The sequence below is a fragment of the Homo sapiens genome, chromosome 8 (genome assembly GCF_000001405.40).
Source record: "Homo sapiens chromosome 8, GRCh38.p14 Primary Assembly".
NCBI lineage: Eukaryota > Metazoa > Chordata > Mammalia > Primates > Hominidae > Homo > Homo sapiens.
The window spans coordinates 104338595-104365928 of NC_000008.11; the positions used below are offsets into that span (position 1 = coordinate 104338595).

The 27334-nt window shown below is 43.5% G+C and overlaps 1 protein-coding gene across 5 annotated transcripts, besides 2 other annotated features; it reads left to right on the forward strand.

Annotated features, from left to right (window-relative positions):
* The first annotated feature begins 1201 nt into the window (after positions 1 to 1201).
* On the forward strand, positions 1202 to 18095 carry DCSTAMP (dendrocyte expressed seven transmembrane protein). 5 transcript variants are annotated; one of them, XM_024447288.2, is made up of 5 exons: positions 1202 to 1268; positions 1693 to 1846; positions 9947 to 10987; positions 16283 to 16591; positions 17530 to 18095. In XM_024447288.2, the coding sequence occupies exons 3-5, from the start codon at positions 9959 to 9961 to the stop codon at positions 17602 to 17604; spliced, it is 1413 nt and encodes a 470-aa protein (XP_024303056.1). In that variant the 5' UTR covers positions 1202 to 1268; positions 1693 to 1846; positions 9947 to 9958; the 3' UTR covers positions 17605 to 18095. The 5 variants fall into 5 exon arrangements, with proteins under 5 accessions (XP_024303056.1, XP_024303057.1, XP_047278233.1 ...); XM_024447289.2 differs by lacking the exon at positions 16283 to 16591; NM_030788.4 differs by lacking the exon at positions 1693 to 1846 and having other exon boundaries at positions 1232 to 1268.
* Positions 3809 to 4357: an enhancer, noted in NCBI's record as "OCT4-NANOG hESC enhancer chr8:105354631-105355179 (GRCh37/hg19 assembly coordinates)". NCBI's record gives its function as "activates a minimal SCP1, AML or CMV promoter by ChIP-STARR-seq in naive H9 embryonic stem cells {active_cell/tissue: H9 hESC(naive)}" and the evidence as "EXISTENCE:reporter gene assay evidence [ECO:0000049][PMID:30033119]".
* Positions 12159 to 12660: an enhancer, noted in NCBI's record as "NANOG hESC enhancer chr8:105362981-105363482 (GRCh37/hg19 assembly coordinates)". NCBI's record gives its function as "activates a minimal SCP1, AML or CMV promoter by ChIP-STARR-seq in naive H9 embryonic stem cells {active_cell/tissue: H9 hESC(naive)}" and the evidence as "EXISTENCE:reporter gene assay evidence [ECO:0000049][PMID:30033119]".
* Positions 18096 to 27334: the final 9239 nt, after the last annotated feature.

The following is a 27334-nucleotide window of genomic DNA, read 5'->3' on the forward strand; positions in this document are numbered from 1 at the left end:
AAGGCTCCATCTCCTCCTTCCCCAAGAAAGTTGCAACTGCCCTCAGCTTTCCTCCCTCCCTCCTCAGGGAGTACCAACATCTCTCTCTTATCTTTATTCTTCTTTGTGAGGCTGATATGCTAAATTTCATCTAGTTTTCCCCAAACTCAAACCACTACCTCTCTACTGCTGCCTTCTCCCTCTCCATTTCCATCCCTAGCACTACTACAAAGGAACCCCATCCAGTCCAGCCGGTTGGCTTGCTCCTCCCCTCCTCCCACTCCAGTTCACGCTCCAGCCCACTGAAGAGTGGTGCCCACCCCTAGGCCCCTGCCTAAATGGCTCTTCCAGAAACACCAGTGACTTCCCACTCACCAAAGTCTGGGGCCGTTTCCTCAAGATCCTGCCCACTCCCTGACCCTTCCCTCCCTTGGGGCCACCATGGCTGCTTCTGGATGACTCAATCAGACACCCACATTGCAGTCCCATCCTTCCTGTTCAAATGAAAACATCTCATTTCAACAGCTCTCTTCATCTTCAGGACTAAGTCAGCCCCTTACACAAAGGACTCATGAGGGACATGCAGTCTGTGTGCCCAGCCTGAGCCCAAGGGTCTATTCTGATCCTTTTTTTTTTTTTAAGATAAAGGTTTTTGCAGGTATAATAGGGGTCTCCAACAAAAAGTAAAGAATAATTTTGTAGAAAGATTTTGAGACTTTCCTAACTCTCCGAAACTACACAAGCTGGTCCTTTTGACTTGGAAGCTAAATTTCTAAGATGGAAAGTCACATGTATGAGTGGGAGGCATGAAACCAATTATTCGACCTGTCTGGGGTCATGAGTGCAGAGGCGGCTCCTACGAACCATCTGCCTCTTCAAGTGTGGATGAGAGGTGGGTATGGCGGATGCTTGTCATTTCCCAATGGCTCGAGTGGATGTGGGGAGTATGGGAGTGAGGGCAAAAGAGAAAAGAGGGAGAGAGGCCGTCCAAGCTTTCACAACTCACTCTCTTGTGTTTGAAAATATCTGATTTCATTATTTTCTATAATTAATTTCTAGAACATCTATTCTGAGGAAAATGCTAGAAAGAAATATGCTATTCATTTGTATCAGCATTACTCTTTGTTGATATTAAATGGCTCAGTCACTTTATGGGGGAAATAAAGAGGTTGATTCATGGTGATGTGACCCTCTCGACACTTCTGGTTCCCTTTTTCCTGCTATATATCAAGACCTACAGCCCTTGGGAAGTGCATTTCTGCATTCGAAGAAGAATCTGAGAGAAACCTGTAAGTAAACTTTCAGAATAATCTTATTTCTAAAATTGCTTTTAAAAAAGTACTAGTAAATTGGAATAAACAATTGTGACCAGAGCATACTTTAAGGCCCCCTATACCCCGACAGTCTCCCTATGTATGGAAGTATCAGAAAGTCTTTTCATGTTGGTATCTGAATATCCTCTGCTCAGGGAAAACTGCAGCATGAATATCTTCTTATGGGTGTAGCCTGGGTATACGCGAGCCACCCTTCACTTTATGAATCCCCTCAGCTAATCCTCCTGGTGGTTATGGGGAGCCCTAGGCTGGCTCAGTCCTGCCTGGCCAACGATGCAGCTCCCGGCACCTGGCACACGCAGCAATGGGCTGAATTGTTCCGTAAATGCTATTCTGTTTACCTAGTAGCGTTCATTAATCTTTCCTTTCTTGTGTGAAGGCTGCTTTCACAGAGGAAGGCATTTGCTGGCTTTCCCAAGGCAAGAACAATGAAAACAAAGTCATGAGGAGTTCTCTCTACCTCAAATGAAGGCCGCAGCTCCTGCTCAAGCTATTTTGGCAGTCTGAGAGAACAGTACATTCTGAACCACATTGTAAGTTTGCAAGAGCTTATACAAAAAAGAAAGGGAGAAAAAAGGAAAAGGAAAAGAAACCCTCCATTCTTCTTTTGTTCCACTCCCAGGTGCTGGGCTTTGATGTTCTGTCTCAGAAGTGACTGCAGAACGCCAGCTCCAAGAACCAGCTCCGCTGCTCACTGCACCTTTCATTTCAGAGAGCATGGGGCTAGTGGGGACCTTAGAACTCAGCTAGCCCATAGGAGCTGAGGTCCAGGAGGTGACATGACCTATCCAAGGCCACGCAACCTGGCTTGGGTAGAGGCAGGTTGGACCACAGGTCTCCGTTTGGCGCTCTTTTCCTGTTCTGCTCTGTCCTTTGATCAAATTCCTTTTAAAATGAGATTCACATCAAGCCAGTGAGGGAGGCTGATGGGTTCAGACTGGGTTCCCGCAGGGGACCGGCAGGGCTGGTTGAGGAGTACAGAAAGAACAGAGTGCTTGTCCGTTTGGGTTTATTGTCCCCTGGGGTGTCTGCAGACTATATCTGGGCTTGTTGAGCATAAGCCATTGGCTTCTGCACAGGCAGAGTCAGAATGAACTGGTGTCACTTAATGGGAATTGCAGGACATCAGATGAGGCAGGAGCTTTGGAAATGGGGAGAGAGGGGAGCAATAAGATGCTCCCAAGGTCATTGTCTCCTGGCCTTTCCTCCAGAGAAGGTCACATTTCTTCCTCCCACACTTTCAATAGCAGTAAGCCTGTGGGTTTCTGCTTACCAGCTCTGGAGACACATGGGTGATGTGCAGCTTCAATACCCCTCCAGTCTAGAAAGCTCCTAGGGTGGGCCATTCATGTGGAGATTCTCATTATTATTTCATGGCTCCATTTTTTGTAGCTTCTGACTGGACCTTGTATCTGAAGCAAGGACACATTCATCTGCACCTTGAAAGTTGATCTGTGCTCAAAAGACAGTGCTCAGGAATGCCGGTCTCCTTCACTCATCAAAAAGGTGGCCAAACAGAGCTCTGTGGGTGGGGGCTGTGAGCCCTGTGCCCTCCATGCTGGGGCTCTCAATGCTCCCACTGACACTGAGATCCCATGCAGGGAAAACGATTGAGGTGTATGTACCTTGCAGAGGTGTCTGCTAGCTAGCATGGGCAGGGTTGATGTGGAAGTCTGGCTGTTTCTGTTTCCCATGGCAACAGCTTGGCCCTGCATGAAAGCAGGTAAATGTGGGCTCAAGCCAGATGCACAGACTGCATGGCTCTGCAGGGCTCTCAGCTCAAATCAGGGCTCTTCATCCCTAACCCTGTTCTGCTATTTTCCTGTTCCCTTCCACTCAGCCACAAAAAGGGCTTTAACCCCATGAAAGAGAGATGGGGCCCTTGGTGGTACTCTGCTGTGGACTGCTAAGGCTTCCCTGCCTGAGGTGTGGTAGAAACTGCAGTTCTGAGATAAAAGCAAGAGAGTGGCCATTACTCTAGGGATAGTGCTGTTGGTAAAAGCCAGAAACAGGTATTGTATCCTGGGGACACAAGCATGTTGAGTCAGGAATAGACATTATTGACAATGGAGGCAAAATAAAGAGAAATTACAGGTTAAAGGGATCAGGTAAACTTTTAGATGCTGCCAGAAAAAAACGATGGAGAGGCAGAGGGAGGGACTCTGTAAGCACAAGAGAGGGGAATAAAACAGTTAGAAATCTTTGGGCAAAAATAAACATTTCCGAGGTATAGAGGAAAACCTTTATTTGTGAGACTGGAACTTGGTTTAAGCATGGCTTTTAAATGTCTCCAGGGATAAAAGGGGAAAAGGTAATTCACAGGAATGGAGAAGAGGAGGGCTAAGGTGAGAAGCCAGCCAGAGAGGAGAGAAGAGAGCCATGTGAACGTCATCTGATGATCAAGGCTGCACTCTCACAATCCGTGGCCAAAATCAGCCGTCAGAGTGTTTAAAAATAATTTGAGCCAACAGTTTTTTAAGAACCAGAAGATGTCACCCAAAGAAATCTAGATTTCTGACTTAAAAAATAAAAGTCAGAAAATCTGGTGACTGCCTCCATAGAGAACTTTCAAGAAAATCTGCTGGGTTGGAGGCTGCTGTTCCTACAAGTTAAATGGGGGCATGGGCTCTCCAGCCCCCCAGAGACCCATGGCCCACTGGCCCACACCCCACACTCCCAAGGAGTATCTCTATCTCCTTACTTCCTTCACTGTTTCTGGTGCTTGTCTGACCCCTGTAGGCATTTGAAATGCTAAGTGCTGCCTGCAGGGGACAGGATGAGCCCCCATTCCTGACCCCAGCTCAACAGGGAAGGTGAGACCAACACGGAATGCACTTTTCTTCCCCATCCCTGGGAGAGATGGCTAAGTTGGGAGAGACAGCCCTTGATCTGGACCTCAGACCAGGATGGGCCTGCGTCCGGGGTGCCCGAGTTTAAGGGGTGAGCAAGGTGAGCCTAACGCTGGCTGTAACAGTCTCTGAGTAAAATATAGGTATTCACGACTGCACGATGCTGTGGAGCAAGTGTTCACCTGGGGAAAGGAGAGCTGCAGTCAGCTTTAGATGGCTCAATAAAGCTATGCTGGCAGAGGAGGGGAGGACCCTGGATGTGGTTGACAACGCAGGACAGCTCATCCTGGCATGGTGAATCTGCATTTCAGGATTCTTTTGTGATTGGGATCCTGGGAATATAGTTCAACCAAATTCAGAAGCTGCTCTATGATCATGTCAAAGAGGGGCTGAGCAGTTGTCCATTCTGACCCCTCAGGGTCATTTAAACATGGGTTAAAATCCTGGCTCTTGCACTTATTAGCTGTGTGACCTTGACCAAGTTGTTTAACCTCTCTCAGCCCCAGTTTCCTACCTAAAAAGATGTAGCTACAATAGTACAGGGTTAGAAAGCGTGTATATCAGATGCTGTGGCCAGGCATAAAGTAACACATTAATAACTACCGTCTATTATTAGGAGTATTTCACTAAGCCTCAGACATTGACACAAGCTATAGTTTGTCTGCTTCTCTAATTATGTATTCTGTGGTGACTCAGGACCAACTGGATATTGTTATGGACAGAATGTTTGTGTCTTCTGCCAATTTATTTGAACCCCCAGTGTGGCTGTATTTGGAAATTGGGTCTCTAAGGAAGTAATTAAGGTTAAATGAGGTCCTAAGTGTGGAGCCCTCATCTGATAGGACTAGTGTCCCTATAAGAAGAGGAAAATGTAACTGCCTCACCATTGTCTAAGAGAGAGACAAGAGACTGGCAGCCAAACAGAGCAGTGGGTAAAATGATTTCTGGGTGCCATGTTGGAAAAGTCTTTGTACTTAATTAAAGGCGACACAGAGTGAAGAGATACCAGAGAGCTCACCCACCTTCTCTCCCCGCCATGTGAGGACACAGGGAGGAGGCAGTTGTCTGCAAGCCGGGGAGGGGTCCTCACCAGAACCCAACCCTGCCAGACTTTGATCTGGAACTTCCAGCCTCCACCACTGTGAGAAATCAATTTCTGCTGTTGAAGCCACCCAGCCTGTGGGGTTCTGCTATGGCAGCACTGGCAGATGACAACAGGTACATAGGAAATTTTAATTCCATTACTCAGGAACTGTAGTGGAATTTTAAAACAGGACTCATGAAAAGTCAGAGGTGAGATATTAATGTGATGGGAAGTGTGTCACCAAGTGGTGGAAAACTGGGGGTCTCCCTCCTAGCTTAGAGTCCCTTAGCCTCTTTGGATTTTATTTTCCTCAACTGTGACTATCAGCCAGGGAGGTGTCAATCAAAATAATCTGGACTTGTGCTATCCAATACATAGGCTCCAGTTATTTATTTAACTTTAAGTAATTTAAATTTTATTTAATCTTAATTTAAATGTAAGTGATTTGATTTATTAAAATTAAAATTAAATATCATAATTAAATAAAATAACACTAAAAGTAATTAAATTTATTAATTAAAATTAAGTAAAATTTAAAATTCAATTTCTCAGTCGCATGAGCCCTATGTCAAGTGCTCATGTGGCCAGTGCCTCCTATGCTGGACAGTGCATATATACAGCACGCCCAGCATCACAGACAGTTCTATCCAACAGCGCTGAATTCTAGAGCTTGCTACCTGAAGCCTAGTCTTCACGAGAGCAGCTTCAGCAGCACCTGGGAAATTGTTAGGAATGCCAACTCTCAGGGGCCACCCTAAACCTTCTCAATCAAGATCTGCATTTTCACAAGATTCCCTCCAGTGATCACGTACTCAAGTCTAAGAAGCTCTGAGGTATGATTCCCTCCAGCTCAAAAAAGAAAATTTATGAATCTGGGTATCTGCTTGACAAAGTCTTTGAGAAAGAAAACACTTGCTTAGCTTATCAAAATTCCAGTTTACTGATTTGCCTAAGAGGAAAGAATTGAAATATCTGAAGGAAGATCAGCAGAATGGCTGCACCTCCACAGGAGCAAAAAGAAATCAGCAGATGTCTAAAGGAGGCATGGGTGGCGTCACCGTGCCTGGAGGGTTGTACACCTTGGAGGTTGGTACAATCCAGCTCCTATCTCTTTTTTTGTAGTTGTTTTTTAAAAAGAGAGATGGGGGTCTCTCTCTGTTGCTCAGGCTGGTCTCAAACTCCTGGGCTCAATCAAGCAATCCTCCCACCTCAGTGTGGGATTATAGCCATGAGCCACCACGCTCAGCCTCCAGTGCCTGTCTCTAAGCCTCCCGTCAGCTTGGGCATTCAATCTTTGCCTAAAGAGCAGAGAATGGACATTCTTCATTTTCTGTGGCAGCAAAGAAACAACAAGGAATGAGTTGCATTTACTGGGGACCTTTTATCCAGAGAGTCTTAAGGTGCTTGCTAAGGTTCCCCTCATTAAACCAAAGGGAGCAGGTAGGTCATATATTCAATTAGGGAAAATGAGGAACAGAGAAGAAATCAATGCCACAGTCAACGATGCCAAAAGGGCAGACTGGAACATCAGCCTTTGGGCTCATGGGCCGAAATTGTGCTCTGGAGCTTGAGCTGTAAAATAAGAGAAGATACCTTCAGTCCTCTCACTGCAGAAAGTTTTGGTGTCTGGTGACGTGCTGTTTTTAACACAAAAATAAGAAGGATAATATTAGAGCTGTTGCCTGTTAAGAAAACGTGTTCTTCTTACAGGACAAAATTGCAGTCGTATATCTTCTTTAATTGATACTAGATTTTATTGCAGAACGTTAAAATGTTAATGTGTCCATAAATCTTTTTCATACTTTCAGAAAAATGTCTGTATTAGGAACACACTGTACAAGGATGAAGGCAAGAGAAAGGAAAAATGAATCCAGAATATACATTATTAATTTTTTAGGAAGGAAGCAAAATGGTGCCTCATAAAGGAAATTAGAAAAAAGTTAAACAGCTGGGATTTCTGATTTCCTTTAAAGAAGAATCTGCTAGTTTGAGAGATATCCTTACAGAGTCAACTATTTTGATGCAGGGAACAAAAAGTGAGCAGATAATGGAAATGGGCTTGTGATATACAGGTCAGCTCTTAACAGCCACTGGCAGAAGGTGTGATGCCTCCAGCAGGGGCAAACAGTGAGCTGAGGGTCCTGTCACATCACGCAGAGCCATGGAATTGGGGCATGGTACAGATGACAGGGCCTGCCCAGGAGTTGGGGAAGTCTGGCCTAAATCCTGCTGTGCCGTCTCCACTGTGTGATTGCTGACAAATTCCGGCAAGCACTCAGAGCCTCAGTTTCCAATGTGCCAGATGCAAAGAGCATCTGCAGGCTTGGGGCACGGTTAGAGAGATGCTTTATAAAAAGTGCTTACAATGTAATAGGGAATTATCATCTTTTAGGGTATCAATCAAATAATGGTTTGGGGTCAAACCCAAAGTAATGGGAGAGCAAAGAGTCATGCCTGGGAGGAGAGGCCACAGCTCCTGACTTGGTCTGGTGCTGGGCATCCTGCCCTCTGCCCACCTGCCCGCAGTCCTCCTGCCTGTGCCGTGGAGCCTGTCTGACTCGGTCTGTAATGCCAGGGAAGGTTCAGCAGCACAGGGGCCTATGGTAAGGCCTGTCTCTATCTTCACCCTTCAGTCCAGCCTCTGATTCCAAAAGGAAGCAAGCTTTCAGGAAAAAGGAACTATGGCCTTTTGCTGGCCCCCATTTTAATTACCATTCTAATTCCCTTTCCTGCTGATGCTGTCAGAACATCCTTATATGTGGGATCTGGACTCTGCTAAGGCCAGTTCCACATGGCAGTGACCACTCTTCAACACTCAGGCTCGCCTCATATCTCTTTTCTGCTCTGAGCATTTCCATTCAGATTATATGGCAGGAACTGCAAGCACTCTCTATTCCTGGTGGAGAAATTTACACATGTTTATTCATAACCTGCCTATTTCCCCCATTTTATTTCTGCCCTTCGTTAACCTCATTCGGCCTGAACACAGAAAGAATAATTTCCTCACCTCTGGTTGCTCAGTTCACAACCTCTATCCAGTGCCTGGATTCATCTTACACGACAAATGTAATTCACTGGCTCTCACTGTATTCAGCTACTCCGTAAATTCAGACCCATCCTATTTAATGTGAGAAGGGATTTATTTGAGATTGTTTAAAAACTGATCAATGTCCGCATTAAAATCCCATACATATGATATAACGCTTATTAGATATTTTCATGTCAATCAGGAGAGAATATCAAATTTATTTTATATATATATCACTCCAAATGAATCCAAGTCTCTCTGAGAGCATCACAGACCTAAATCTGTGTGACTGATGGCGTGTTAGCAGCTCCAGAGTGCCTTCATTTTAATTATTCCGATCTAGGAAAAAAGAAAAGATGATTATCTCAGTGACAAAAAATAAATATTCTTCTTTTCTTTGTAAGATTCTCAGGAGGAAACTGTTCTTGGAGGGCAGGGGCATAAGAGGGAAGAAGCCGTGGTTACAGAGCAGAGACACAATGGCCTCAGTCCAAGGCTGCATTTAAGTTTGGATGCCCTTGGTGTGCTTTCTGGTCTGTAAAATTAGAGCACAAGAAAACAGATGACTATTAAAGAGTAAGCTTGCATAATGCAGTTTATTGACATTTCAGCCTCTCAACCTAGGGTTCAACTATTAAGGCTTATGATATAGGACTGTTGCCTTTATCAATAAACAAAGACTCTCTAGCAGACCAGTACAGAATTCAGTGGCTTAAAATAAATCAGCATTTATGATGGCTCACGTGTCTGTGGTCAGCCGGTGGGCCGGCTGAGAACCAGCTGGTCTAGGATGGCCTCTCTCACATCTGGCAGTTGGACGGCTATTGGCTGAGCTGATGGAATTGCCTGGTCAGGTGCCTTTTGTCATCCAGCAGTCCAGCCTGGTATAATAGGCTCAAAAATGGCCCCCTCAGAGTTGTCCATGTCCTACTGCTCAGAACTCATGAATATATTACCTCGCATGGTAAAAGGGACCCTGCAAATGTGTCTTGAGATGGGGAGATTATCCCAGATTATCTGGGTGGGCCCAGCGTATTCACAAGGGCTCTTATAAGAGGGAGGCAGGAGGATCAGAGTCTAGAGAGAAAACATAAGGATAAAAGCAGAGGGAAGATGCAACATTGCTGGCTTTGAGATGGTGGAAAAAGGGTCCATGAGCCAGGAAATGTAGGTGGCCTCTAAAGCTGAAAGAGGCAAGGAATCAAGTTCTCCCCCAGTGCCTCCTGAAGGACCACAGCATTGCAGGCCCATTTTAGACTCTGACCTCCAGAACTGTGAGAGAATAAATACGTGCTCCTTTAAAATACTCAGTGGTTATTTGTACAGCAGCGATAGCAGGGAAATGCAGCTGGACTTAACACAGCAGGAGCAGGGTTCCGTGAGAGCACGTGGAGCGAGTCCCAGGCCCAGGATTGTCACTGTCATTTCTGCCGCATTCGATTGGGCAAAGAAGTCACAAGGCCAGGTCAGATGCAAAGGATGGAGGAATAGACCTCAACTCTTGGTGGTGGAAGGTCAAAGAAGCTGTAAAGTCATATTTCAAGGGAGAGGACACAGGAAGAGTAAAGAATTATGGCCACGTTTTTTGTAGTCAGTCTACCACCATGGCCTTTACGAAGGTCAGAGGACATTCAAAAGTAATTTCTGACCTTGGTTTCTTTTTCATTTTCAGGACGCAGGGAGCATGGGTATCTGGACCTCAGGCACTGATATCTTCCTAAGTCTTTGGGAGATTTACGTGTCTCCAAGAAGCCCCGGATGGATGGACTTTATCCAGCATTTGGGAGTTTGCTGTTTGGTTGCTCTTATTTCAGTGGGCCTCCTGTCTGTGGCCGCCTGCTGGTTTCTGCCATCAATCATAGCGGCCGCTGCCTCCTGGATTATCACGTGTGTTCTGCTGTGTTGCTCCAAGCATGCACGATGTTTTATTCTTCTTGTCTTTCTCTCTTGTGGCCTGCGTGAAGGCAGGAATGCTTTGATTGCAGCTGGCACAGGGATCGTCATCTTGGGACACGTAGAAAATATTTTTCACAACTTTAAAGGTCTCCTAGATGGTATGACTTGCAACCTAAGGGCAAAGAGCTTTTCCATACATTTTCCACTTTTGAAAAAATATATTGAGGCAATTCAGTGGATTTATGGCCTTGCCACTCCACTAAGTGTATTTGATGACCTTGTTTCTTGGAACCAGACCCTGGCAGTCTCTCTTTTCAGTCCCAGCCATGTCCTGGAGGCACAGCTAAATGACAGCAAAGGGGAAGTCCTGAGCGTCTTGTACCAGATGGCAACAACCACAGAGGTGTTGTCCTCCCTGGGTCAGAAGCTACTTGCCTTTGCAGGGCTTTCGCTCGTCCTGCTTGGCACTGGCCTCTTCATGAAGCGATTTTTGGGCCCTTGTGGTTGGAAGTATGAAAACATCTACATCACCAGACAATTTGTTCAGTTTGATGAAAGGGAGAGACATCAACAGAGGCCCTGTGTGCTCCCGCTGAATAAGGAGGAAAGGAGGAAGTATGTCATCATCCCGACTTTCTGGCCGACTCCTAAAGAAAGGAAAAACCTGGGGCTGTTTTTCCTCCCCATACTTATCCATCTCTGCATCTGGGTGCTGTTTGCAGCTGTAGATTATCTGCTGTATCGGCTCATTTTCTCAGTGAGCAAGCAGTTTCAAAGCTTGCCAGGGTTTGAGGTTCACTTGAAACTGCACGGAGAGGTAGGGCCCACAGGTACTTCTCATGGTTTATCCCGGCTATTTGCTGGTCTGTCTTGCAAAAGATCATGAACCTCCCGAGGCAGGGCAGTGGCTCATTCACCTTTGCATCCTTGGTGCCCAGCATAGTGCTTGGCACATAGAAGGAACCCAACAATTGCAGGTCAAATTGAATCGAAGTCCCAATGTTAGGGTGTGATTCTGCATTAGTTCCCTGTGGCTGCTGTGACAAATGGCCAATAATTGAATGGCTTAAAATAACAGAAGTTTATTCTTGGATAGTTCTGGGGGGAGAAGTATGAAGTGAGTGTCGCTGGCCTGAAATCCAGGTGCTGTTGCCGCTCTTTGCATCTTCCAGATTCTAGTGGCCGATGGCATCCCTTTGCCTGTGACCACATCACTCCCGTCTCTGCTCTGTCATCGCATCACTTTCTTCTTTGCATGTGGAAAATCTCTCTCTGCCTCTGTCTTAAAGAATCTGTATGACTGTATTAGGACTTTCCAGTATAATCCAGGGTAATTTCTCTATCTCAAGATCTTTGACTTAATAACATTTGCAAAGATCCTTTTTCCAAATAAAGTAACATTAACAGTTCCAGGCACTAAGATCTTATATCTTCAGGGCATCATCCAGCCTCCTACAGTCAACAAACACTGAAATGTGGAAATAAGTATCTCTGAGGTTGAACATGAAGTGGATTCCCAAGCAGGACTATCCGGCGTGAACCTAAGAGACACGGATTTAGGGTCTGCCTTCCTCTCATCCTCAAGCTTAGGCAAGTAGACTTCAAGCACCTTCTCTGAGTGAGAACTTTTCTGTGCATCTTGAGTCCTTATCAAATACAAGAGGGTTCCCAAGGCATCAGTGCAATGTTTAAAAGGATGATTGTTGAAAAGGGCTCCTAAGTTACCCAGTAAAATGGCTGGTGCTAGTAGCTGATAGCACCCACTTTTAAAAATGCTACACAGCTACACTTCGGTTTTTTGAGACAGATTGGATTACTAGTTCTCAATTTTAAATGTGTGTTAAGAATTTCCTGAGTTGGACATAGAGTTTCAGGCCTCGATTTACACAGATTTTGTTTTAACTGGGAGAGCATTTTAAATGAGCATGCCTGTGATTTCAAGGTAGGTGGTTCATAGACCACATTTTGAGCAACTCTGGTCTAGGTCTTAGAAAGCAAGGACCCGCTAACCCAGAGGTCCTCAACCTTGGATACAGAGTTGCATCACTGCAGAGTTGAACTAACAAAGCAACTCAATTCCTCTCTCCAGAATCACCAGATTCTGTTTTAATTGGACTGCGGCGAGAGATTTTTAAAACCTCCCAGAGTAATTCTAATGTGCAGCCAAGATTGAGAACCCCTGTTCTAAACCCCTCACTCCAAGAACAAAGCCAGAAAGTTAACACCTAATTGCCATCAGATGGATCTGTGACAAATCTTCATTAGCCAGGATAGCATCTGTGTCTGAGCTGGTGCCTCCCGCATCTTGAGGGATGTGGCTTTCTCTCCTCTATTCTCCTTCTCTCTCCTCTTGGCAGCCATGGACAAACAGAGAAGATGGTGGGGATGGGGCATCCCATCGTTTATCTTTTCTTTTCCATTTTCTCTGTGGATATTTGTGCTTATGCTGACATTTCAGAGGATCTGGATATTGTGAGACACTTGTCTTATTGTTTTTTAAACCCAGAAATTGCCAGGCTGAATGACGTGGTGTGTGTATGCACATGTATGGGTGTGTATGTGCATGTGTGTGATGCATGCTGGGTTAAGTACACTAGCCCAGGCTGGCAAAAATAATGCAGGTGAACCCCAAAATTGGGGCTTAGCCTAGGAGGGTTCTTGGCTTTGCTTGGGAAAGAATTCAAGAGTGAGCTGACAGTGAAAGAAAGCAAGTTTATTAGAACAGAGTACAGCAAAATGACTGCTCCATAGGCAGAGAAAGACTATCGCATAGGCAGAGTGGCCCAGAGTAGCACTCATGGATTGCTGATCTCTTATATTTATACCTAGTCTTAATTTTATGCTAATTATGGAGTGGGTTATTCATGAGCTTTCTGGAAAAAGGGTGGGGAGTTCCCAAGCCATGTAACACAACTTCTGGGTTATTGCCATGGCCTCATTTGTAAGCTGTCATGGTGCTGGTAGGAGTGCCTTATGCAAATATATTATAATTAGCATATAATGAGCAGTGAGGACAACTCGAGGTTTTTTTTCATCACCATCTTGGTCCTAGCTGATTTTGGCTGGTTTCTTTGTTATATCTTGTTTCTATCCACAGGGTCATGACAGAGGCTCAGTAAACAAGTCCTGCTTATCTCCTGCCTCAAAAACACCAACAGCTGTTTCTTTTTTTAAAAAGATTATTACTTTTAACTTTTATTGTTATTTTTAATTGACACATAATCATTGTACATATTTATGGGGTATCCAGTAGCTGTTTCCACGGGTCTGATTTGCCCTACTATTCCTCAAGCTGCAATAGGCTGTGCCAGCTGCTGGGGAATTCATGGAGGAAAAACGGCCACAATGTTGCCTGCAAACCCTCCCATGAAGCCCCACTTGCCATTTCTCTCTTTCTCTCTCAGGGCCTTAAATCCTCCTGCTGCATTCACACTTTTCCTCCCTTTTCCTCTGGCTCAGCAGATCTAGTCCCATGGCTCCTGCCCTCCTAAGCCTGGGCTGCTTCTCAGAGTTGATTATTCTGAGCTCTCTGAGTCCCCTGAAGAATCCCGTTAATTACAAGGCACCCTGTTGCTCTAGATATTTGGAGCAGGGTGGATAATGGAAGTAGTGTTTTAGCTGAAAGCCAAACAAGAATTTCAGACATGCTTGATCTTTGGGGGTGGCCAGGAAAAGGGTCTCACTCCTTCACTGCCATTCTCCTCCTGTGTTCTCCTTTCTTGTCTTCCCCCCTCAATTCTCCCTCTCTCTCCTACATTTTTCTTCTCTCTCATTTACTTCTCTCTCAGCAAGTACCCATGGCTGTGTTGTGAATTCTCACCATGTTAGATAGAGGGGAAAAAAAAAAGCAAGCTCTGCCTTCCAAAAAAACCCAGCTTTCCAATGACAATGCCCTGACACCTTTGTCTTTGGGCATTACTGGCTCCTGGGGGCACAAAGATGTCTAGGTTGTGAGGGCCTCCTTGAGGGGCTTATGTCCTGGGAGGGAGGTCACCATGAACACACGTGAAACAGTAGGGTGGTGGGCACTGGAACAGATGTGAGTACGAGACTGCTGTGGGAGCGCTTCTCAAACTCTCTCCTGCTGTGTCTGGGAGACTGTGCTGCCAGCAGCCAGCTTCTGCATGACTGACGATGCCCTGCCCTTATGCCAGGGTGCCCTTGGGGGCTCCTTGTCTTCACCATTGCCTCACATTTGCCAAGGAGAAGTCACACAGGAAGAGAAACACTGGCTCAAGGTGCTGCCAATATTTCTCCCTCACTTTAATATGATTTTAATTATGTGTTTTGAATAAAGAAGACGGGAAATGACCCAGGTAGAGCTAGCTCTGTGGGTGGGCAGTGTGAGTAAAAATAGCCAGAGTTTCTACTTATTGGGCACCTACTATGTTCACTGCACTTGGCTGCATTAACTTTTCAGGACTGGCTGACAGCAGAGCCTGGCCTCCATTCATTGCTTAGTGTTGTGCCAACAAATTGTTTACTTAAGAGAGGAATATAAATATTGAAACGTTGGGGTGCCATTTAGTATACTGCTCAGGCATTTTGGAAGAATTAATTTGTCTTCCACATCACCCTCAACCAACCCCACACCAAAGTGTTGACTCAGCCGTTCTGAAGCCCGGATTCCCAGCTGCAAAATCCCCAGTTAAATTTCTAGACAAAATAACTTTGTCCCAGACCGAACACCCGCTGCTTTCTTATTGCAGGATTTCTCATCACTGACTCAATCGATATGTTTGTTTCTTCAATAGTATTAAAAAGAGTTCATGTCTTTGCTCTGGGGACTGAAATCTCTCTATTTAATTGTAGGCAGCCTATCTTTTTAATAAGAGAAAGGGAGAGGCAACACAAATGTTTTTCGTTGCTTCGGCACAGTGCTGGGGAAATTATAGATTTGATTTGGCATTTGTGTAGAGGTCCCAGGTTTGGGGTTTCCAAAGTCTTCACAGGCACTGGAATAGATCCAAGGTGCCCAGCGTCCGCTGGGTGTAGTTGGGTTCTTTTTGAGAAGTCATTTACCTTTTCCCAGCCCCAGGGCTCTGTGGCACTAGAGTGATAATAACTTACTAAGCACCCCAGTCTATAAGGCTAATGCTCCTTCCCCAAGGTGTTTAATTTACACTGGGAGTAGTTTATTCATGGGCAGGATCTGGTCCATTAACTCCTGTTTTGCCAAATTAGAAAAGAAATCCACTGAGAGATTAAATGACTTTCCCAGGTCAGAGAAAGAAAGAGCTGGATCAGCACACACTTCTCTTGTGGGTGGCTTGGCTGGGTGGCTCAATGTCATCTCCTGCCCTCTGTGTCAGTCTGCTGAGGGCAACTGGCTTATTCTCTTGCCTTCAAAAAGAAGGAATGTACCTCTCATGAGCATCCAATAGGGATGAGAATTTTTCCTATTTTTAGGACCTGCCCAAACATGATTTCAGAGTCTCCTTCAATAATGTGGGCTAGAGGGCCAACGTATCAACCCAGAAGGGAATATAGTACACTAAATAAGAATAATCCCCCCTAAGCTCCAGAAGGTAGATGTAGAACATAATTTAATGCCTCAACATCTCTGTGACCTTGTGGTCTGCTTAAGGGGTATTGGGAGGATATGATGGGGTCCTAAGGGGCTATGTTCTAAAGCAATCTTCTCCCTGAGTTTAGCTGACTCCCCGCTCTTTCTTTCGCCCCATGTGTGCTAACATGTAGAAACAAGTATTCCATGAAAATGAGTTATGTGATCAAATTTGTTAGGAAAACTGCTGCTAAAATTAAAAGATTCCTCTGCCTACTCCTCAGAGCCTTCAACAGTCTAATGGGCATTGTGATTTTCAAAAGAAGGGATAGAGTAAAAAAAATGTATTTAATACACTTCTCTCAAGGGAATCTTTACTGTATTTCTACAAACCCATTTCAGAAAACACTGCAATAGTTACAAATAAGACACATCTCTTCTCCTTTGCTCCAATCATAACACACAAAGGAAGATGTGATAGTTCCTTTGGCCAAAGCTCCCTGTATATTTGAAGATAGTGCCATGTGCTGCAGGGAAGTACTGAGAAAGACAAGAACTGAGTACAAAAATGGCATGCATCATGATTATTTTATTCTTTCATTTTAGAAACAAGGAACTCAAGATATTATCCATGATTCTTCCTTTAATATATCTGTGTTTGAACCCAACTGTATCCCAAAACCAAAATTCCTTCTATCTGAGACCTGGGTTCCTCTCAGTGTTATTCTTTTGATATTAGTGATGCTGGGACTGTTGTCCTCTATCCTTATGCAACTTAAAATCCTGGTGTCAGCATCTTTCTACCCCAGCGTGGAGAGGAAGCGCATCCAATATCTGCATGCAAAGCTGCTTAAAAAAAGATCAAAGCAGCCGCTGGGAGAAGTCAAAAGACGGCTGAGTCTCTATCTTACAAAGGTAAGGCCAAGATGGTGGTGTAACCTCCAATTGAGGAAGTGTTGAGTTTGGAGGGAAATGGGAAAGGGGACTTCGAAGCATTTAATGCTTCAACTTCACATCAGGGCTTGTACCCCAGCAGTAGATAGGACATTGAGGAAAAATGAACAAACGTACGTGGCTAGGACTCTTAACTCTGTGATTTGAATGCTGATCCAAAGGATACTACAAGATATCTTAAAATATTGGTTTCAAGAAAGTATGTTCAGTCATTGTAGAGAGGCGACTGGAGAGGTCCTTAGTGTTGACTAGTAAAGGACAAAGCACAGTAAGATATGCTTTCCTAGGTAAAGAAAAAACAGACAGGGAAATGTCTACTATAGCTTTGTAAATGCCAAAGAATTTGTTCATTTTCCAGTGTGTGTTTGTGTGTGTATATATAGAGAGAGGATATACAAAAATATAATATATACACAAATATATAAATAAAAACATGACTCATACATAAAATGGACATATATCAAAAATTTTACGTAATTTAATACATATTTATTAATGAGGGAATGGTAAGAAAAATTAGAACCAAAGAATAATTCAAAGAACACACATATATATAGGCCATCAGGAATACCAAACGAATTTGCTTAATAGATGCAAAACTGTCTTTTTCTTTAAGGGTGGATGGGAGGGGTCAGTTGTATGCTACTGGACGGAGATCATGTGCATGTCATGGACAAGAATCACTCACATTGTTTCTATCAGCCATCTGCAACTTACAGAATTGGGAAATAGCCCATAGACAATGGAAGACCAACATAACCCACAAAAATAAGCTTGTCTATTTCAGTCTTTTGCTGTTTTTCCCAACATCTTTAACCCCACAATGAAAAATTGATGTCAGAGGCATTTAAAATGACTCCAACTCCAATGCCCATTTATCCACTTTTCTGTCTCTTCAGATTCATTTCTGGCTTCCAGTCCTGAAAATGATTAGGAAGAAGCAAATGGACATGGCAAGTGCAGACAAGTCATGAGAGACCCCGACTACTCCTCAGCCACATCGCACCAACAATTCTCTTCAGGTCTAGGATGGCAGTCACTATTCATGCCGGATAATAGAGAACTATGTGACGCAGTCCTCTCAGGAGTCTGAGTTTACAGAGCCAACTTGCAGCACCTGGTTATGCCTCCTTTCATCTCAAAGCCAAAGAGCTGCCAGGTAAATGGTTATGTGGTCTATGTTCCAAACAAACCACATGATCTTGCCTGTGTCACAATGTAACAAGACTCTAGCTGGGTCCCCTGGTGATGAGTTTCAGCATAGAATAATGTTCAAGGAAAAGAAAACGAAAACAGTTTAAATCTCTACCACAGCCTCACAAGCAAATGCTAAGGGGAACATACATGTAAAAAGCCAGCAAACTATCTTCAAACTCTTCCGTCCTTAATGTCTTCCATGGCTATTGCCCCCACAATGGTCTCTTTTCTCCCTGCTCCCTTATTAAAGAACTCTTTCTGAAACCCAGTCCTAGCAGCTCCTTGTTTCTTCTTACCACCGCCTGCACTTCTGCCCTCTACCTGCCTCTATTTTGTTTTCTCCTCTTTTAGCAAATCCCCTGGCTGGTATTTATGACAGGGTGGCCTACGGACCATGTGCATTAAAATTATATACAATTCTTGTTAAAATATATATTTGGGCCCCTTTTCTTCTTTAACTATACTCCAAATCAATTTTATTTTTATTATTTTATTATTTTTTTTTTTTGGAGATGGAGTCTCACTCTGTCACCCAGGCTGGAGTGCAATGGTGTGATCTTGGCTCACTGCAATCTTCGCCTCTCAGGTTCAAGCAATTCTCCTGCCTCAGCCTCCCAAGTAGCTGAGATTACAGACGCCTGCCACCACGCCCAGCTTATATATATATATATATGTATTTGTGTTTTTAGTAGAGATGGAGTTTCACCATGTTGGCCAGGCTAGTCTTAAACTCCTGATCTCAGGTGATCCACCTGCCTTGGCCTCCCAAAATGCTGGGATTACAGGCGTGAGCTACCATGCCCAGCCCCCATATCACTTTTAACGAGTCACAGGACACACTGTCTTTATCTGTTAGGCAGGTTTGCCCTCAGTCTGAAGTGCTCTTCCATGTTGGAAGGACAGACTGGAAAGCAGTGCTGTCACCAAAGGCAATTTTGATCTTGAAAACAGGATTTAGACTAGCTCATTAGGGTCCATTTCACTTGGATGGGAAATGCTTATTTAATTGCAGCTTATTCACTTTGATTTAAATGAATGTTAAGTTAAATTTCTTGAGAAATCCATTGTGAAATGTGCTCTGTTAATCTTACAGAGGCAGAAAGGTACTGCCCAAGGCAATTTCATAGAGCACCCTTTTTTCACCTCTAATTGTAATGGCCTATAAAAGTATATTGCATTATCCCCTAAATCACCATTTCTCATCTCACAAATCTCTGTCTGGTGCCATATTTTGTTAGGAGCTGTCAAGTGTCTTTCTGATGTGCTTACTAACTCTGTTGTCAGTTGAGTTTCTCTTTGACAGCAAGACATGGGAATTCTAAACACCTTCATGAGAACAGGTCTCTCTTATTGTTCTACCTGGGATAAAAAAAATGTTATCTTTCCTCTTCTCAGATTCTGTATCTACTACTTTGTCTGTTGGGACCTAATCAATCATAATTATAATATGGGATATGTTGAAGTCCTCACATGTCACATATTTTTGTCTTAATTTACTTAAGAGAAAGAAGTACACATATCTCACCCCAGGAAAGTAAGAACTAGCTTTCTCAGCCAAACTCAATAATAGTGATTCCCAAAAAGTAGTAAAGACTACTGAAGTCAATTGGTGAGATTATAGTATGGAAGAGAGGAACTGGCTGAAAAAATGAGTGTGGGTTGAATGTAGCTAAAGAATCTCTGAAATCTCTGCCATCTCCTTAATATGTTTTTAAAATGTGTTTTTTAAATATGTCTATATTTAAAAGCCTGTATTATATTAGGCTAATATAACCCCCACACAGAGGGGAGGAAAATTTTAAATTAACAGGTGGCTGAGGCTTTTCCAAGTTTTCCCAGCTCAAAACCCCTTTTGGTTTCAATCCATCGTGATTGCAGTGACATTGTTAAAAGCAGGAAAGAAAAGGAGGTGAGTAACTGGGTAGTGGGGAAAATGTATGACCTTTTATGATCTCAATTCTGAGTGTCCATGAACTTTACTTTTGTACTCAGGGAGCAGAAGAAATCAGAATTGAATTTGTCATTGGAGCACTCTGTGAAATGCAAATAGAAAGCAAAAAAGGCAATGACAGAGATAAAAGCATAACAAGCCACATTCACTGCAATTAAGGCAGAAGGTGTTTGCACCACTTTCCTGGATGCTGAGAAAATACATTGTGATGAAGGAAGTGCCCCTACCCCTGCACTCAGCCTCATTTGACAAAGACAGAGAAGAGCACGCACACTGACCAAAGCGTAGGGCTCAGGTGGTGGACAGGTTTAGAGGACTTAGAGGAGGACCAGGAAAGACTGAGACAAAGACGCAGGGCCTTGCCTGCTCACTGGTTCTCTAGGGTAATGGTTCCCAAAGCTGGCTGATCATCAGAACCATCTCCAGAGGTTAAACAATAAAATAAAATTACAGACGCCCAAACCTAAACTCAGATATACTGACTTAGGTAGGTGGCGGGAAGGTCCTGGAAATCTGCACCCTAAGGAACTTCATGGGTGATGCAGATGATTAGGTCTGTTTGTTAACCACTGGTTTAGAGAATTGTGGCAAGCCTTGGAGAGGGGGGATTGCTGATTAAATAAAAACACATTACATGTTATCTATGTAATTATCTGTGTGAACATACATACAGGACTTTGATTCTACCTGTTGCTGAGCCATTAAGTTTCTCCAATAATGCAAAATGCAAATTTCTTGTCAAGAAATGTATTGTTCTCATCATCTGCAGTCCAACTCACTTACTTGTATAAACAAGCACCCAAACAAAAACATAACCCATGGCAACACCATGAATTATATAATGTTAACCTATAGTTACTTGCTTTTTAAATATTATTTCGTACCAAATATTATTTTTTAATTAAACTATTTCAATTTGGAGGATAGTATAGCACTTTTTTAAGAAAATGAAAGGTAACCCTGACTACAACAACCACATGATATAATTGAAAGAATTATAGAATCTTCAAATGGAGAAGGCTGGATTCAAATCCTCATTCTGCTAATTGTTAGTGGCATAAACCTAGCAACTTAACTCTTACCTCTCTGAGCCTGTTTTCTTATTTACAGAATGGGGCTGAAAATATCAGTCTCCAGCATCTTTTTGAGAACTTAATGAGATGACATATATAAAGCCTCTATTATCCTGTCTCAGATAAATAAATGTTAGCAATGTTAGTTCTTTTCTTCCTCTTTCTTCTTTCCCATAATTCTCTACCCAACTGCACTTTCTTCAACTTTTGACAATAGGGTCTGATACAAAAAGAGTAAAAAAAAAAAAAAAAAAAAAAAAAAAAGAGAATTTCAGTCAAGCTTGATATACAACAAGGGTTGGCGAACTTTTTCTGTGAAGGGCCAGACGTTAGAGCGACTCTGATGCAACTACTCAATTCTGCCACTGTAGCGAGAAAACAACCATAGACAATAAGTAGACAAATGAACATGGCTGTGTTCCAATAAAACTTTATTTGCACAAACAAGTGGCAAGCTGGACATGGCCTGTGGCTGTTTGCCAACACCTGATAATACAGAAAGGCTTTTTAGAAATACATGAGTTGGTGCAGGACATGAGTTGGTGCAGGACATGAGTTGGTGCAGGACATGATGCAATGGGGACTGAAAGTCAGAAAAAAGAAGGTTTGAAATCCCTCTTTGCCACCAACTAGCTGGATGACTTTGCAAGTCATGTCACCTCTCTGAGCTCAATTTTCTCATCTATAAAGATCAAGGGGTTTAGCTAAAGAATCTCTGAAATCTCTGCCATCTCTTTAAGCCTATGATTCTTTGGGAGACCGCAGTGTCCTGGAGAGAATCACCAATGGACTGTAACCCAAGTTTCAGCATTTGATGTGTTTGTTCTTTCACGGTTGATCAATGAATCATAAAGAAAAACAGAAGTGCTCCACTCCTAAGTATGATTTATTTGATGAAAAAGAGAAAAGATAACATTTGGTCAAAATAAATGTTATTTTCTCCACAGACACAAAGAAGCAATCAGTATGGTTATTCAATTCTAAATGTCATGTGTAATTTCATATGGCTTAAAGTCAGATTGCCATGTCAGTGGCTGAAGACCTGAAAATTGAAAGTCTTGCTTTTTTCTAAGCGAGCAGTACTCTCACTCTAAATGTGATATATTACGGAGTAAAAGAAATCAATCAAAATTGTTTTTCCAAAGGAAACCATTGTGGAAGTATGTTTGTACTGTAACAGTAAGTGTGCTATGTCTTGCAAGAGGAAATGTTAATATGTACTAGAAAATACATAATAAGTTGTTTAAAAACACATGTGATGAAAGAAAGGATACTGAATTAAAAATTGGAGGAACTGGTCTCTAATTCTGATACTGCTACCAAGTAGCTTAGCCAAAGCACTTCTCTCTGACTCAATTCAGTTATTCATAGAAAATATCATAATAGTTATTAGTAAGCCCTTACTAGATGCCACTGTTTTTAGTGAATTATTTCATTTAATCCTCACCCAAACCCCATGAGAGACGATCTGCTGCTATTGCTGTTTTGTAGATGTGAAAACTGAGGCACAAAGAGGCTAACTTGTCCACAAGTTATCTATAAAGCATTGAGAAACCTCTGTTGTCATTCCTGATTCCCTTCTCCAATAAAAAGCCTATTGCTGTGCAGGGATATCTATACAACTAGAAAATTGTTTTCCTGAAAAATCAGCATAATTCTAAACAGTCCTCACTGTTCTTTAGAGTGCAAAAAATCACGGGATCATTAATTCAGCTTACAAAATGAATGATTTCTCTGACTGCATTCTTCAACCATGAAATCCTAGACAACTTCCAGAAAGCTGTGGCCCAGAACACCCCGATCCCACTCAGAACACTATTTATAAGAATGCCCCGTATGCAGTAGTCTTTACAGTTTTTCTTTTTCTCAAATGTTCTTTAGCCTATGTAGATGACATTTATGCAATTCAGAGGAAGATGCCTCAACAGGATTAGTCAGCAGCAAAGTCCTCTGACGCAGCTTCTGTGATCTAGTTAAAAATAGGAAAGAGGATGTTTTGCATAAGTCATCACCATTGTGCGGTATTGGAGAATTGACCACTTTTTTGGTTCCCACATCCTGCTAATTTATCTAAAAATAGATGAAAACCCTGTCCCTGAATTCCTGGACAAGACCTTTTGCTTCTGTGACCTCGGGGCTCAGGCTCTTCTTGTTCTGGGCTCCTTGGTCACTTCACTTCACCCCCTGCCATTAACAATCCCAAGTGTCAGTCTTGGGCTCAGAGCTTCTGCTTTCCTTTTGCCCTCCCAGGGATTGCAAACTAGGGACTAGAGAGTTCAGGTAGATAACATGAAGCCAACAAGGTGGATGAGGGTAAACTAGACGACGCCCCTTCTTGAAAGGAGGGCGTCTCTTACTAAATCTCTGACAGCTCGACTGGCTTTTCCCAGAGCATGCAAAAATCCAGATTGGTACAGAAACTTGCCTAATCTTGAAATGTTACAAATAAATTAGAATGTTAATTTAAAAAACAGCGTGGAGGTCAAACCATAAGCTTTCAGTTTGTGATCTCTGCCCCACACCCTCTCCTATGAGGAAGTCGTGTGTTACCAGCTATAACATGAAATTCTACAAAATCTAGATAAACCCTCCCACTTTTTCCAGTTCTTGATTTCTAATTTACAAAGAGTATGGGATGATGATAAGTCCTGGGTCCTGGTTTCGCTCTGCCCTTTGCTAACTATGGAACTTTGAATGAGTTAGTTTCACCTTTGTGGGACACAGTTTCCTCATCTTTAAAAGAGGCAATTAGAGGCAATGATCTTGAGAGCTCTATCAAGCTCTATTAGCCAGTGAGTCTGACAGAGCTTCATCCTCATCTCCCCTTCCTTGCCCTTCCTGATCTCAAATTCCACACCACAATGAGTGACCCGAATATTTTCCTGATTTTCTCAGCTTAGAAGTTCGCTTTATTCGTAACTCTCTTGCTGTGTAACTCCCAACCAGTTCTGTTGCTGCAGCATCCCTTAACCCTCCTCCCCACCCCACAATGTTGGCTGTCACCGTCATTTCCTTATCAAATCACTACATTTGCTTACATCTCTACTCCAGCTTCTCCATAGCCCCTCAGCTTTGGCCCAGAAACGAAACAAAAACTAATTTAAAAGCACTTGGTTCAGAGCTTTTCCCTGGAAGAGAATTTACATGCAACATTTACAATCCCCATTGCTTATCACAGCCAATCCCCAAATTGCCTGCTGCCTTTGTAGGTCAATGGTCATCTTTAAGTCACAAGCTGGGCATGAGGGGAGGTGCTCTCAAGTGGTCCCTCATTAGGAAATCAAACATTCATACCCCATGAGGAGCTATAAGTATTTAGACACTATCTCAAATATAAGTCTCTAACGCATTATGGACAACAATGTTACCAAATGCCAGGCAAAGAAAACCTCCCTAGTACTTTTTTTTTTTCTCACAAAAGTGGAAAAAGTTTCTGTCTTTTAGAAGTAGAGAAAGTGTTATCGCCCAAAATACAAATTCCTAGTTATCTTTCGCAGGGCTGAACCTTGAAGGCAGGAAGATTCCGGAGAATTTAAACCTCTCCCCCTTATCTAGTTTTTCAGCTGGTGAATGTATTCAAGCCGATTCAAGGTGTCAGCAGTATCATGCTCCCTCCAAATTCTCCAGTGAAGAAATCTTCCCTTGTCTTTTCTGCCTTCTGTGGTTGTTCGCACTCCCCAGCATTCCCTGGTTTGTGGCAGCATAAACCAATTTCTGCTTCTGTCTTCACATGACCGCCTTCTTTCTGTGTCCAATGTTCTCGCTTCTTACAAGAATAGTTATTGGATTACAGTCCATCATCCAGTATGACCTCATTTTAATTTTATTACATCTGCAAAAAACTCTTATTTCCAAGTAAGATTATACTCATAGGTACTGGTGTGTCCGGAATTGATGGGTTCTTCGTCTCGCTGACTTCAAGAAAGAAGCCGCGGACCCTCGCGGTGACTGTTACAGTTCTTAAAGATGCTGTGTCCGCAGTTTTTTCCTTCAGATGTTCAGATGTGTCCGGAGTTTCTTCCTTCTGGTGGGTTCATAGTCTCGCTAAGTTTCTTTCTTCTGGTGGGTTCATAGTCTCACTGACTTCAGAAGTGAAACTGCAGACCTTTGCGGTGAGCGCTACCGCTCATAAAGGCAGCACAGACCCAACGAATTAGCAGCAGCAAGATTTATTGCAACGAGCTAAAAAACGAAACTTCCGCAGAATAGAAGGAGACGCAAGAGAGCTGCGTCGGCAGACTCGCGTGGCCTGCTTTTATTCCCTTATTTGGCCCCAATCCACATCCTACTGATTGGTCCATTTTATAGAGAGCCGATTGGTCCATTTTACAGAGAGCTGATTGGTCTGTTTTACAGAGAGCTGATTGGTCTGTTTTGACAGAGTGCTGATTGGTGTGTTTACAAACCTCTAGCTAGACACAGAGTGCTGATTGGTGCATTTACAATCCTTTAGCTAGACAGAAAAGTTCTCCAAGTCCCCACCAGACCCAGAAGCCCAGCAGCTTCACCTCTCAGTGGCACTCCTGGCGGGATTTTGTGGCACCCAACCCAGGCACTCCAGCAGCCCAGAGGGAGCTCATCCCCTGATCAAGCACAGCAGGGCTTGCGGAACCCCCGTCCACCTGGAACCCACGCTGGCCGAGAGCGCCCAGGTGATGTTCAGGACCTAAACAGAAGACCTCAGCAATACATTGAACTGAGCCACCAGAAGCCATATATAGAGAGATACCAAACGTGGGAATCAATACGGTGTTTTATCGGAAGGCAGAGAATGATGGTTAAGGACCTTAGGTGAGGAATAGGATCAGCTGCTGCACCGAGGGAATCTCTATCCACACCGGCTGTGAGTAGTGTATGTGTGGCAGACAGTTCTAGAAGAGGTGAAAATTCACCTTGAAAAGAAAAGGTGAGGTGATCCTCAACCAGTATTAGTGGGCCCCACCAGAGTATTTCTTAAAAGTCTTACAAGTTTTAGCCTGGGGGTGGTGGCTCACACCTGCAATCCCAACACTTACAGAGGCCAAGACGAGAGGATTGCTTGAGTTCAGGAGTTCAAGACCAACCTGGGCGACATAGTGAAACCTCATCTTTACAAAAACTAAAACAAGACGTAACAAAATTTGCCAGGTGTGGTGGCACACGCCTGTAGTCCTAGCTACTCAGGAGGCTCAGATGGGAAGATCACTTGAGCCCTGCAGGTTGAGGCTGCATTGAACTGATATTGTGCCCCTGCACCCTAGGCTGGGAGACAGAGCAAGACCCTGTCTCAAAAAACAAAAACAAAACAAAGTCTTACAAGTTTACAGTTGAAGAAGAGACCATGGTTAAAAAAAAATACACTATATGAATAGAGAATGGCTCAGCAAGATCCATCCTCACTCATTAAAGGGGTGCAAACCACGTTAGGGCCTTGGAAAACACAAATAGACCAGTCTAATAGAAATGGCAAGGTAAAACAAAATTAAGTGTTCACTGTGACTATTATTCCTATATTTGCTTGCGATGATGTTCAGGTCTTCTTCAGTCTTGACGGTGAGACTACCAGCAGCCTGATGATGGCAGTGACCAGGAGTGGACAGGGTCTACTGAGGTGGGTGAAAGTTTGAGAGCCAGACATTATTTTTGGAACCAAATGCTTCTCCTAGAGACTCTTTTGAGGGCTGGCTTTCAATATGTGAGAAGAAAACAGTTTTGAAAAGAGTCAATGAAAATGGCTGACAAGAATTGTTTCTTGGCAAGGAAGTTGTGAAGAAATTTTATATTTCTAGTTTAAAATGAGTTTAAATGCATTTTCAAAGTTAATTTCTGAGAAGACAATGTTCCCTTAATTTAAGAGATTCTGTATCAAGACTAGATGTAAATACGGCTGGGGATTGCCATGGTTAGAAATTTGAATAAAGTACAGCAGTGCCTGGGAACTAGAGGCCAATTGAGAACAGCATAATGTAGAAGTGAGTTGCCAGGGAAACGAGCCTCCAAGTGAGACACGACCATCCTGCGGGCGGACACCATATACAGAGATGGGAGGGGGACCAGGAACATGCTAGACGGCCAGGAGTCCTCAGGAGGGACAATAAGACAGCCTGCCCATTAGCTGTCTGCCACCAGAAAGAAAGCCAACGGCTTCCAAAGCCACCAAAAAGGGGAATACAATTCAGGGCTTCTTGGGCATTTTCAATCTGACCATATTCATTTGTCATTCATATGTTGGTTTACTCCAAAGAACAGTGACTGAATGCCTTTTGTGTGCCAGGCATAGGTGTAGGGCTAGGGACTAAGGAGGCACAGTAGCTCGCTGTCGCTGGTTGCTCTCTGGAAGAGCAAGACGTAAACACAGCCACTGGCTCACTCCTGGGAATTGGGCCTCCTTTTGCCCTGAAGCTCTGGTCCTGTTCCAGGGGGCCTGCCAGGTCTCCTTCCTGGCTGAGGGGCACCCTGACCACTGTGCCCAGGATTCCAGTCCTTCAGAACTGATTTTCTTGG

Coding starts and splice junctions, on each gene's coding strand:
- DCSTAMP (XM_024447288.2), top strand. CDS start 9,959: ATGGGTATCTGGACCTCAGGCACTGATATCTTCCTAAGTCTTTGGGAG. Junction 10,988..16,282: donor ACTTGAAACTGCACGGAGAG/GTAGGGCCCACA, acceptor CTTTCATTTTAG/AAACAAGGAACTCAAGATAT. Junction 16,592..17,529: donor TGAGTCTCTATCTTACAAAG/GTAAGGCCAAGA, acceptor CTGTCTCTTCAG/ATTCATTTCTGGCTTCCAGT.